The sequence below is a fragment of the Homo sapiens genome, chromosome 11 (genome assembly GCF_000001405.40).
Source record: "Homo sapiens chromosome 11, GRCh38.p14 Primary Assembly".
Taxonomy (NCBI): domain Eukaryota; kingdom Metazoa; phylum Chordata; class Mammalia; order Primates; family Hominidae; genus Homo; species Homo sapiens.
Genome location: NC_000011.10, coordinates 19,338,617 through 19,351,265, shown reverse-complemented (window position 1 = coordinate 19,351,265; position 12,649 = coordinate 19,338,617). Strand labels below are relative to the sequence as shown.

The 12,649-nt window shown below is 47.7% G+C and overlaps 1 protein-coding gene across 11 annotated transcripts in view, besides 2 other annotated features; it reads right to left on the bottom strand.

Moving 5' to 3' along the window:
• The window catches only part of NAV2 (neuron navigator 2), a 776,366-nt gene extending 770,336 nt beyond the window's left edge, over nt 1–6,030 (bottom strand). For 7 of the 11 annotated variants that reach the window (XM_017018520.3, XM_047427824.1, XM_017018522.2 and 4 more), the window contains exons 1-2: nt 5,955–6,030; nt 239–893 (exon numbers count right to left, since the gene is read on the bottom strand). In XM_017018520.3, the coding sequence (XP_016874009.1) occupies nt 239–313 (75 nt within the window). In that variant the 5' untranslated portion in view covers nt 314–893; nt 5,955–6,030. Of the gene's footprint in view, nt 1–238; nt 1,359–5,954 lie in introns of those variants that run through there. The other 4 variants (XM_024448758.2, XM_047427820.1, XM_047427825.1 and 1 more) reach the window with 1 other exon arrangement.
• Nucleotides 4,814–4,883: a silencer, noted in NCBI's record as "silent region_3199". NCBI's record gives its function as "represses an Ori minimal core promoter by ATAC-STARR-seq in GM12878 lymphoblastoid cells {active_cell/tissue: GM12878}" and the evidence as "EXISTENCE:reporter gene assay evidence [ECO:0000049][PMID:35858748]".
• Nucleotides 5,894–5,973: an enhancer, noted in NCBI's record as "active region_4518". NCBI's record gives its function as "activates an Ori minimal core promoter by ATAC-STARR-seq in GM12878 lymphoblastoid cells {active_cell/tissue: GM12878}" and the evidence as "EXISTENCE:reporter gene assay evidence [ECO:0000049][PMID:35858748]".

Sequence of the window (12,649 nt, the reverse complement as noted above, 5' to 3'; positions counted from 1 at the left end):
TCTTTGCCTTTTTGGCTGCCAGGACTGAATTTTTTTTCCCTTTTCTTTATCTTTCTTCTTGCCTACCAGTAAGTCAAGACACCCAGCATCGAGACATAGCAAATCTCAAGCCACCATGCTACCTCCTTCCGGAGAGAAAGACAGACAAGCATGCTCGATGATGACCACCTATGCTCTCTGAATCACACTTAGCAATCAGCACCATAATCCAATCAACCAACAAAGTTCTGCCACTTACCCTCTTTTGATCTTCCAGTCCGTGGATAACTGGCTTTCTCTTCTGCTGTTGGCTGGACTCAGAAACCGATTCCATTTCCCAGAAATAAAATCCTCTCTCTCCTTCAGCGATGCTTCCAAATCCACAGAGGAACAAAATAACCCACACAAAAGTGATGCATGCAACAGCCAGACAGAGTTCCCGCCAGCCAAGGAAATCAGCACCACCTCTTCAAAGGTCTTCCTGTCTTCTTAAAATCCACTCGGGAACCTCACTCGGCACCACTGCCTTTGCAATGAGGGTGACTGCTGCCGGCATCATGAGAGCTAAGTCTTGGGGTTTTACTTTAGGTCTGAGACTCGCTTCATGAGAGCCCAGAGGACAAATCTGGGCAAAGACAAGTCCATATCCTGAGGCACATACCACATTACTGCCCCAGAAACCCTTTCCTTCACTGTCTCCTTGGCACAGATAATTTATATGTCAATAACAATGTAAATGGGCATTTAATCCACCAAGCTGCTAACATCCACATCCCTCTCTGGCAGCCCCTGACTCCCATAAATCACTGCAAACACTGCGCGGAAAGCCGCCCCTCATGGCTCCTGCAAGCGTTCATCACAGCGGTGGCTCCCCTCCTGGGCTGTCATCTTCCTTCATGGTGTAAGACCCATACCTGAGGAGAAAACGTTCAACAGTCAGATTTGTCTTTTGTAGAAAAGTACAGATTTGAGCTGTCTTTCCCACCATCTGGAGCCACATAGTGAGGCCTGAACCAAGCAGCAGCCGATGATCGTTTTCCAAGCTCCTCTGAGCACATCCATGGACAAGGAAACTCCAGGGGCCTCACGGGCTCCCCACTTCTCACGTTCTGGAAATAAGCACACCGGAGCTGGAAATGAGTTATCTTTCAAACTTCCATGGGGTGCATGATCATCATCATCATCATCATCATCATCATCAGAGGAATAAGGCACGATAGTATGAAGAGACAGGGAAGCAATGGTCTGTGAAGCACAAAGCATCAATATTTTTCCCCCAATTACAGCTGCAGGAGGCAGTGTATGGCAGGCGAGACACCAGGGTCCTCAGGGAGGGTGAGAAAGAGCAGCCGAGATTGTCTCAGGGCCGAAAAGCAACTGCCTATGGAGCCGCATTCCCTGCCTGGGAATCTGCAGATAGAGCAGACACTCAGTCACCTCCCGGCTGACGTCACAGAAGCTCGGAGGGACAGGGAGGGAGGAGAGAGGAAGGGACCTCTGCACCAAGAAAAATATTCACACTTGGTACACCCTCCCATAAATAGTCCAAGAGGTGGGGACATATCTGAGGATCCTAGGAAGATCATGCATCAACAAGTAATTATGAATGCCTCCTCCCCCAACACCAGCACCATCAGGAAGGAAAGGAATGGGGGCTGGGGAGCTCTTTACTAAAAGGCACTAGTCTTGCCAGCATTTGTAATGAACGCACTAGCCATTCTACAATTCAGGCCATGCCAGCCTCCGGGAGAGCTGCGGCCAGATCCGGCCGCAGCGGGTACTAGACAGAAACCCACAGACCCTCCCTTGCAGCTGTCCTGACTGGTGGCTACTTTGGAATAAGGCCGAAGCCATCCCCTATCACAAAAGGCTTCCGCACAGCTCAGTGCCAAAGCAGGTTAAGAGGCGGACATGAGACTCGGCCACAGAGGGCTTGTGAGGGGGGAGGAGGAGGAGGAGGAGAAGGACTAGCAGATGCTTGGGAGAGAAGCAGCAGAGGGGATGTGACTTCACAGGTACATCCCTCTTAATTGAAGGCTTGTCCCACACACGTGAAACACTCGGCCAGAACAGATTTCTGCAAGTGAATTCCCAAGTCACAGATGTTCTGAATTTGGTAAGAATCAGTGAGGAGCAGAATGTTCAGAAGGTTATCTTGTATACCCAAGAGTGGGTGACATTATAGACAGAATGACTGAAGCCCTCTGCTGACCCAGGAAGTAGCTGAGCTTTTAGAAAAAAAGTAGATACTCGCTTTTTGCTCACCACCACTATCTCCACAGCCCCTTCAAGGGATCCTTTGCAAAGGTGAAACCTCAGAATCATTCTTTTCAGCTGCAGACCACAATGCAAGTGAACTCTGACAAACTGGCTATACGTATTACCCTTTTCTGAATCCAATTGAAACCTCAAACTAAAAGACTCAGGCAGACCTAGGTTCAAATCTCAACACTGCAGCTTCTTGTGTGACCCTGAGCCAGTAACTTAATCCCAATCTCAGTTTTCTCATCTATAAAGTGAGGAGAATGATACCACACAAAATTGGAAAGATCAAGATCACCTATTAACACAGAATAGGTGATCAAATGATAATTGCTAACATGTACTGAATGTTTGCTATATGCTTAGTGCTAGCTACTGCTTCATATATTCATTTATTCAGCACATCTCTGTTAAGGGCATGCTGTGTGTCACTTCCTCTGCTTCAAATAGAGATGTTTAGCTTTGTATTCGAGATGAGACAACTGAAGATAAGAGAGGTCAAGTAACTTGCCTAGAGTTACACAGCGAGGAAGTGTGGGTCTAAAACTTGAACCCAGGTCTGACTTCAAAGTTCCTGCTCATATCCATGCTGCTCTGGAAGGAGTACTGCTGTTTGACTTTTCCCAAGCAGGCTGAGTTCAGAATCTACACTTTTCATAGCTACTGGCCCTCCTCATGAATAATAATAAAAGAAAAAAAAGTCCGGTGCCAAAAAGGGTCTCCTGCTTGGAAGGCCTTCTCCATCGGGGCTGCCTCATTGACAGCTCTGGGCTTTCTCTGTATCTGAGAACAGCTCTGCACTCTGTGCCAGGCCCCTGTGCTGGAGCTCCCTCCCGGGTGAGACCCTGTCACATCCCATCACACCAGCCGGCGCACACGCCCCAAGTGCACATGGGGACAGACGCTCTCGCCACAGAAATACCTCCCAACCAGCAGGAAGTGGGAGGATGTTCAACACCTCCTGTGAGCCTTTTGTTTTTTTCTAGGAGTCAGTCTCCACCAGTTCTGGGGCTGTTGCTGTCCTTGTGCTGGAGCCAGAGGGGAGAGAGTCACAGGAGAAAGAGGAGAAGCAAGGATGCTGTTGTCAGCTAGCTAGCTGCCACATCCAGTCTATTTCCTGACTGGGCAGAGGGGACTTCAAGAGAGTATGCCCTGATGTAAAAGCTCTGGTTTCCTACTGCCAGAGAAATCTCAGGATGTTTAAATACACTTGAATGAAAATGAACTGAAAGAAAGGACTCAGGGAACATTTAACTGAATTGTTGAGAAATGAACATGCGTGCTGGATTGATCCCTAAATGCAGCAATGGATCAGCAGCTTCTCCTCTCTGTGTCATAAGTCAGAACTGAGCGGCTGCAAGGGAAAGGAGAAAAACAAGAAGGCCTGGCCAAACTGCACCATAAGATGAGTGGGGAGCATTGAGGGCAAGCCCTGGCTTCTCCTCAAAGTTCATAAGACAAGCCCACTCTTACTGAAGATCTTCTGAACACACTGCCAAGACTTTTTCCTGCCTGGTACAAACAGCCTCCAAAAGGCTTCAAACTCCCATTCCACATCTGCCCAAATCCTTCTTCCTCTGGGCAACCACCCCGGGGGTGGGAGGTTGGGTGGGACGGAGGTTAAAGACAGGTTTGGAGATATAGCCCAGTACATAGATGGTACAGGAAAAAGCTTCCTAGTCTTAGAGGTAGAGGCATCCTTCAGAGGGACCCGCTGAAGTCCCTTCCTGCAGTAAAACTTCATTCCCTGTTAAATGCCAATTTAGGATTCCAGGTGCCAGACAAGTCACAGGCCAGGCCTTCTTAGGTATAACTTACTCCTTCTGCTGTGGGTGTTGGAATTGTGAGCCCAGCTTTGGCAAAATATCCTTAGATTTTCCCAAAGTTTGCAAAATCAGGCAATGCCCCTTTGGCCTTTTCCTCACTCCTGTCCCTCTCTCCAGTGGCTGCCGGGACTGGGGAAACTGTTTTTTAAATCTGGATTAAAGGTTGGAGGGTTGGGGGCCTGACCTGTTTCATCTTATACCTGGAGTTAAGCTTCTAAAAGAAGGGTGCATCTAAAAGAAGGGTCTTTCCAATGGTCTAATTAACACTTATCACCAAAATCGCATTTTTAATTAGCCCTTGGTGTCAATAGGGGAAACAGAAGAGCTTCTTGGAAATCTAGCTTTTCATTAATCAATCAATAAATAAGTTACATAAGAGGTATGAAAGAGAACCAAGGAGGCATGGTGGTTTCTGGGCTGAGTTTCTAATCTAGGGGCTTTTTTGCTTCCAAAGGGAGCCCGTGAGCCGGCCACTTCTGCTAAGCCACAGGGGAGGGAGGGCAGACCCAGCCGCCAACCCTGGCGCCTTTATCTGTGCACTGCGAGCGAGCGGAGCGTGCTCCCGCCTCTTCCCTGAAGAAAAGAAAGGATCACACACAAAAATAAGTCACTAGGGCCCCAGCTGGGCGACGCGGGCTGCCACCGCCGCCGCCTGAGTCCCTTTGCAGGCAAGAAAGGAGCCGGCTCAGCGGAGCGCACACCCGGGAGGCACCGCGGCTCCCAGTGCTCGGGCGCCCCCTCCCCGCCCGCGCCCTAGCCCGCCGCCCGCAGCTAACCGGAGCGTGGGAGAGCGAGAGCCAGGGGAACCGCAGGCCTGGCCTAGTTGCCCCCGGCTTGGCTCGGATCCGATCCACCTACACCACCCCCACCAACACATACACACGTATGGACAGACAGGCACAGCAAAGAGGCACAGACCGACACAAGCACAGCAGATACTCGCAGACATGCAGACAGACACACATACAGACTTACAGACGCACATCCATATACACAGATCACAGAAGCTCAGATCACAGACGAGGAAGCACGCCTCCACAGAGGGACCCGCGCAGACAGGTACTGGACCTACATTCGGAGACAGACGTAGCTAGAAAACAGAGGCGCAGACAGAAAACACACGCGCTCATAGATACACCTAAAGACTAGCACACAGAGAGGAGGACACACAGACCGAAAACACAGAGACGCCTACAGAAGGATCCACAAATAGCGGTATTCAGACACAAGAACCTGGAGAGGGCGTTCACAGACACCCATGCCAACAGCAAACACAGAGGGACCCAGACGCGGGGATACACCCAGAGACACAATCACGCAGAGGGGAACCCACAGAGACACGCAAACAAGACAGTCAGAAACACAAGAACAAGCACAGGAGGTGGCACAGCCTCAGGCACGTACGCCCAGAGGGACACACACCCACTCCGGATAGGGGCGTGCGCAGTGTCGCTGGAGGCCGGGAAAGTGCGCCCCCGAGCTCGCAGAGCAGCCTCGGAGCACTGCGCCGGGCGCCCAGCCCCGCATCTGCTGGGGAAGAGTTTCCCAGCGCATCTGTGAACAAGGGCCCGCCGGCCGTCATCGCGCACGGGTGGCTATGCGTCCGCTCGCCCGGTATCTATGCTGCGGCCGGGTGGCTTGAGAGGCCCTGGCCCTCGGTCAGAGTCCCGCAGCAGAGGTGTGGCCCCCGAGCCTCTCAATGAGGGGCCGGCCCTCTCCCCAACGGCAGTCCCCACCCTGCTCTGGACCCCGGAGCTCAGCACAGAGCATCCCCAAGTCCTCTCCTCCTTGCCCACCCAGTTGCACCGCAAACTTTCCCAGGCCGGTCCCGCCGCCGGGCAGTCCAGCCAGACCCGACCTGGGGGAGGCAGCATAGGGGGTTCCTACCTGCGCCCACACCGGCTTCGCGGAGCCGCCTCCTCCAGCCGGTCTCGCACTGCACTCCGGCCCGCGCTTCTCAGCCGCGGCCGCTGCCGCTGCAGCCGCTCCTTGCCCTCCCGTTACCCGGGAAACCGCCTCCTCCTCCCTCCCGCCAGCCAACCAGTGCAGTTCACATGGCGCCTCGCTGCCAATCGGCGGCCTCGCCACCCCGGTCCCCTTCCAGGGTCCCGAGCCCTTTCCCAGGCTAGGGGACCAGAGAAAGAGAGAGGGTCTCTCCGGAGCTGCTGCTATTCAATGGCAGACCTGCCAGGCAGAGACATGCCAATCATGCCTGCTAACGCCCTTCTTCTGTGGGACAGACGCACCTGACACTTTAAGGAAGACCTGCATCGTTGGACAACCTGAGTCAGAAGATGCCTCCGGGCACCTGGTTCAACCTCTCACTAAATCCAGGAATCCCCTGGACAGGATCCCATCAGGGAGCTGTCCAGCCTGTGTCCAAACACCTCTCTGGATGGAGCTCTCTGAAGCTCCCAAGACGGTGCTTATTGCCTTCCTGATTGTAGAGCTCTGGTTGACAGCAAGCTCTTTCCAACACTGAACTGAAATCTGCCTCCATGTCAAGACCCGTTTGTGATTCTTGGACACGCAGAACAAGGATCCCTGGGCCAACTAACAGCCAGACCTTCTGTAACCTAGAGGGCAACACATCCTATCCCCAAGGTTACCCATCTCCGGACAGTTATTCATTCTTCTTAGCTTACCCAGGGCCATTTTGGAATCTGGGAGGCTTGTGCTCCCCATGTCCCTTATCTCTCTTTCATGGAGTGGCCTAGTACGTAAGTGCCCACATGAGAGGATATCAGGAACCCAGTACTGCAAATAAGACTTGAACTTCTGAAAAAATGTTCTCTCCTCTCCTAAGTTAAGGTCAGGTCCAAAGAGTAAAAGGGGAGGCCAGGCATGTCTGGAGAGGCACTACCGTGGACATTTCTCTCTTTCCACTCCGCCTCCGATCCTATCATCCAATCAAAACTTGCCCCACCACACAGGGTGCCCAAGGTGAGAAAGCAAGAAGTCCTATTGGTCTTGGCAGGAGAGAGTCCTGGCCTTTCCAAAGTCTCCAGGGGCCACCAGGCTGCAGGGCCTGTCCATAGCCACAGGCAGATCTTTCTATACCACCGTCTGGTGAAGACCAGGTGGGTCCAGCATTCTCAGGGTGTTATGTACACAGACACCCCATTAGAACAGGAGCTCAAGACACACACCAAAGCAGAAGGCCAATCCTGCTGCCGGGCCCCTATTTGGGATGCAGGAAGAGATTGGGGCTCAGGAAGGGAGCTACACTTGTCTGGCGTCAGAGCAGGAGGGATTGATGAGGACCAGACAGTACCCAGCTGGATCTCTGCCAGATCCAACCATCCCTCTCCAGGTCTGGTTGTAGGAAGGGGGCCCAGCTGTAGGATGAGGGGATGGCAGAGGTGAGGGAATTGCAGCTGGGCTGGAAGCTCATGCTCACTCAGAAACATTCACATATATTACACTCCTGAGCCCTGTCCCAGAGGGGCCCATTGAGACTGCTCACAAGACAGAGCTACAAAATAAAACCCATGCTCTTTCTGAGCCAGTCAGCTCAGAGAGGCTTGCAAGAAAGTCTCTCTGAGCTCATGCAAGGAAGAAAATCAGTAGGGTCATGGTAGGGAAGTGACATTATGAACCCAGTCATAAGGAGTGTGATATAGTTAGAAGAACACAGACCTGAGTTAGACAACTTGGGCTGAAATCCCCTCTCCACCATCATCAGCAATGTAATCTTGTCTCTGAACCTAGATTTGCTCATCTATAAAATAGGGAAGTTAATATTCCTCTTCATATAGATGTTATAAGGATTTGATGCGATCATGGATGAGCGCAAACTTTGTAAACAATAATATATCTTACAGAGACAGACTTTTATCAATATGCCCACTTTGCCCCTGTGATGGTTAATTTTATGTGTCAGCTAGTCTAGGCTATAGTATCCAGTGGTTTTTTGGTTTTTGTTTTTTTGTCAGACATCATTCTAGATGTTTTGGGGAAAGTATTCCATTAGATATAATTAACATTTAAATCAGTAGACTTTGAGTAAAGCAGATTATCCTTCCTAACATGGGTGGGCCTCATCCAATCCATTGAAAGCCTTAAGAAAAAGATGGATGTCCCGAGGAAGAAGGAGTTCTATATATGTGTGTATTCCATTGGTTCTATTTCTCTGGAGAGCCCTGAATAATACATACATCCCCTTCCTGGAATGATGATGATTTGCCAGGCAAATCCAAGGAGCAGGCACAACCAGGTGGTCAAATCTGTAGCCTGATCATGAGCCTGGAAGTCATTGGTACACGTGCATATGTTTCCCCAAGCCCAGTACTGGTAGGTGTTGTCTTATTTTTATAGATGTTTTCAACCCAACACTCTGTGCAACAATTTTTCACCTACTAGGGGTGGGCAATCTGGGGAACATTTTTCTAAAACAGCTACCTTTCTCTCCTGCCATTATGCCACTTGCCTTAGTCCCCACCTGCATGCTAGGAGCCAGGAGAGCAGAGCCTTGTCCATGGAGATTCTGATCTCTGTTTCTCTCTCTCTAATTTTCTCTCTCTCTCTCTCTCTCCCTCCTTCCCTCCCTCCCTCCCCCACCTCTCTCTCTCTCTCACACACACACACACATAGTGTGATCCCAAGTGAGAGTTGCAGTGGCAAAGACCTTAACACCTACTGCCAACAGCAGGACAGTTTTTGCCTCAATAAAGGATGACCTATTTTTTAAAATTATAGCCAATTACCCATGTAGGATCCTAACCCCAAACCTGACAGTATCACCTAAAGACAGGGTTACTTCAATTTCAGATATTGAAAAACAGGAATCAGAGTATAACGAGGTCTCCCAGAGAATGGAACCACAAGCCTAGGGACTGTAGAAACTCCCTCTATGGCTTCTGGGGGGAATGCACCTTATCTCCTTTTCTGTTTACTCACCTTCCTCATGGCCTAATATGACTGCCAGTCTAAGTGTCTACATCAGGATCTCTCAGTGCAAACACCCAATAGAATTTGCTCATAACCTCTGGAACTTAGTTCAAATTTTCATGAGAGAATCTGATTGGTTGTTGACCTTTGGGACAAGTCAGGGGGTCAATCAATGGTGGCAAACAAGAAAGGGACTTTAGAATGGTTAAGCAATGTCAGACATTTGTAGCACACAATAAAAAGAGGACAGGCAAAAGTACTTACTCAGTGTAGCTTCTGACTCCTAAAACTGAGCCCCTGCTGCTCCTCAGTTTTCTTGTCTTCAAAACAAGAATATCCATGTTGCCCTCCTTCAGAGCTGGGGAATATCTGAAGCAAGTGTATGTGAAACACTTTAGGAAATTAAAGCATGTCCTTTCCTTCACTAATTTAAGGAAAATCTTCCATCCAATCTTGAGAAGACTTGAGGAAGAAGTAACCAGTCTTAGAATTCTGGTAAGCAGACACAGTACTAGATTCAGCTTAGACACTGTCTTACATGAGCTGGGCATCACAGAGGTGAAATCTTAAGTACGAAAATGTTCTGTCATGTCTTTAGCTCTCTCTGAATTGGACACAGAGTCAGCTGACCAGCAGACCAGGAAAGGACATGAAAAATGCATTTTCAACCTTTTTTTTTCTTTTTGGACTGGTGAACTTTCATTACCTTTGGGGATCCAAATCTAAGAATTTTCCCCCCAAATACTTGTCAGAATTTGTTGTCTTCTGCTCTGGAATCCCATAGTTCTTTGTTCCCATCTCTTTTACGGCATTTGTCATGTCATACTGTAATCATCTCTTTTCATATTTATCTCCCTTACTACTCATTCATTCAATCATCATTCACTCACTCCTGCAATAAATTGTATTACTTAATAAACATTCTGAGATAGAGTAATGAACCAGGTAGGGAAGGTCCCGCCTCTCATGGTGACAGTGGGAAAAGATGGGAAATAAATAAATATTAAACCCAGATAATTTGAGAGAATAATTAGAGCTAGGCAGAGAATAAAAATAAGATGGTATGAGAATGACAAGGTGCTACCTTCATTTGGGTAGTTGCAGGTGACTTCTTTGAGAAGAAGAAATTTAAACTGTGATTGGTGAGAAGGATACAGCCATGCAGGATCAAGGAAAAGAACATTCCAGAAGAGGCAGCTGCTAGTGCAAAGGCCATGAGGCAGATGGCAGAACTACAAACTTGCTGTGTTCATGGAGCAAAAAGATGGTCAATGAAATTGAAGCATAGTGACTGAAGGGAAGAGCAGTGCAGGATGGATTTGGACAGTAGGCAGAGCCAGATCATATAGAGCCTGAGCCCACTGAAAGGCAACTAGATTTTATTCCAAGTGCTGCTAGAAGCATGGGAGGTTTCTGTGTTTGGAAGTGACCTGATATGATTAAATAGATCACTCTGGCTGCTTCATGGAGGATTGACAAGGATGGAAGCAGGGAGTTCACTTAGGATGTGATTACATAGTTCAGACAAGAAGTCCACTGGACCAGGATGGTAGCAAATGGATGGAGTTGAGGAATACTTTGGAGTCAGAATCAATAAGACTTTCTAATGGATTGGAGGTTGAGGGAAACAAATCATGTATATCTAGATTTTTTTTACTTGAGTCACAAAGAGAGCTCCCTCAATGCAGAAGTTATTTCTTGTTTCTTTTCCTATGTCCCACTACTGGAAATGAACCAAGCACATGAGATGCCTATTAAATGTTTGGATGGATGGATTAGTGAATCCTTTAGAAATATCTTGTTCATGTCATCCTGGGAAGAAACAAGCCCATCAGAATAGCAAGGACAGGGGAACATCCACTCTTTCTCTTTCCTATACCCCTTCATGATGTCAACTTTATCCTCACCCAAAATCTTTCTCTTCCTTTAAGACTTAGCTCAATTAGTCTCTTCCAACATGCCAAACTAACCTCACTCTATATTCCCTCACCTCACCCTTACTCTCATACATACCACTTGAGTTTATGGTATATTAAATACATATGATTATGCTTTCTTGCTTCTTCATTCATGTATTTAATAAATTTTATTGAGTGCCTACATATGCCAAGAACTTTCATGTCTGTCTAACATATCACTGATGAGAACACACAAAGAATCAGGAAATCTCTGAGAAGTCAAAACAGATGATGCCAAGGTTTGTGGTAAAGACCATAGCCTTCCCAGGTCCTCATTCAGGGTCTGATGCCCTTGGTTTACTCACACTTTAAATGGGTTCAGTTAATTCATTTTCAAGCCCACAACAAATTAGGTCCCTACCTAACTGGGAAACCCGACAACTGTAAGAATTAAGGGACAACAATCTGACAGCAAGAGAGGAGACCAATAGACCTACGAAAAACAAAACAAAAGGTCTGGGCGATCTGGGACCATTTAGTGAATGGACAATCAATCTTACACATCTCATCCATTCATTAAATTACATGAATCCATCATAATGCTGACTCTGAATTCAGCCAAGTTTTATACAGCAGGAAAAAATTCAGTATGCTAGAAAGCTTTTCAAATAAATTGACTAAATGGAATTTAAGGGACAAGCCCAGAGCTACCAAAAAGTTCAATTGTCAAAAATAACTCGAATTATGTATAGCTAATATTTTACGCTGATAGAACTGTAAACTTCAATTTATTGAACAACTCTAAATGCCAGTAGCTTTAAATGCTTGACTTCATTTAAGCTTCACAATAACTCTGTGGGGTAGGTACTGTTATCTTTATTTTATCAGGGAGATAAGAGGAAGAAACAGCATCAGAGAGGTTGAGTAACTTGCCTTGGTCACAAAGCCAGTTTGCAGCAGTTCTTTTACAACCAGATCAAAAGCTGAAGGAGAGAATAGACTGTATCTATTTCTCCTTTTTTATTCCTCTTAATGCTTAGCATAGATCTGGACAGATAGTAAGTTTTCAAAGTAGGGACTCAGGGCTCATTCATCCAACAAATTTGTCCCAGGAACTGTTTTGGCACTAGACACACATTGGAGAGTAAGCCAGGCATAACTTGTCCTCAGGGTGCTACAGCATGAGGAATGGATGGACCTATTCCATAGTCTGTCACAAAACCAATTTGTCGTTGTCCTACTAAATATGACTCTTATTCTGGATCTTTGGGAATCAGCTGAAGTTTCACTCTTGAAAATAATAAATGCCAATAACAGCAAAGTTAGACATTTGTATTTGAAGAAGTCATCACCGCACCTATCTTGTACCTGTTTCTCAGGCAGCCTGCAGTCCTTATTTTATATTGCCACCCTTCTGCAACTTCACTGAAGGGTGGCTTAGTGAAAGTCACTTCCAGTTCCTGTCTGGACTTTGGTATCCTCATCTGCAGAATGGCTGTGGTGGGGAGGAGGAAGGGCAGAAATGGACTGGCTGGGACATTCTTGTTCTCTCTTCCTCCTACTCCTGGCAGTTTTTATTTTTCCTCAAACATTTCTGTTAACATCCTTTACTCAGCACCACCATGGTTGAGTAGCTAGAATAGAAGGAAGGAGCCCGATTACCCAAGTGATGATGGGTTGAGACAATGTAGCATTATCTGAAATAGACAGTGGCTAGGAGGGAGCTTATTGTCAGCTGGCAAGGGGTGGAGGCAGAGGGTGGGCTGGCTCTGTTTTTCTTGCCATTAGGAGCTG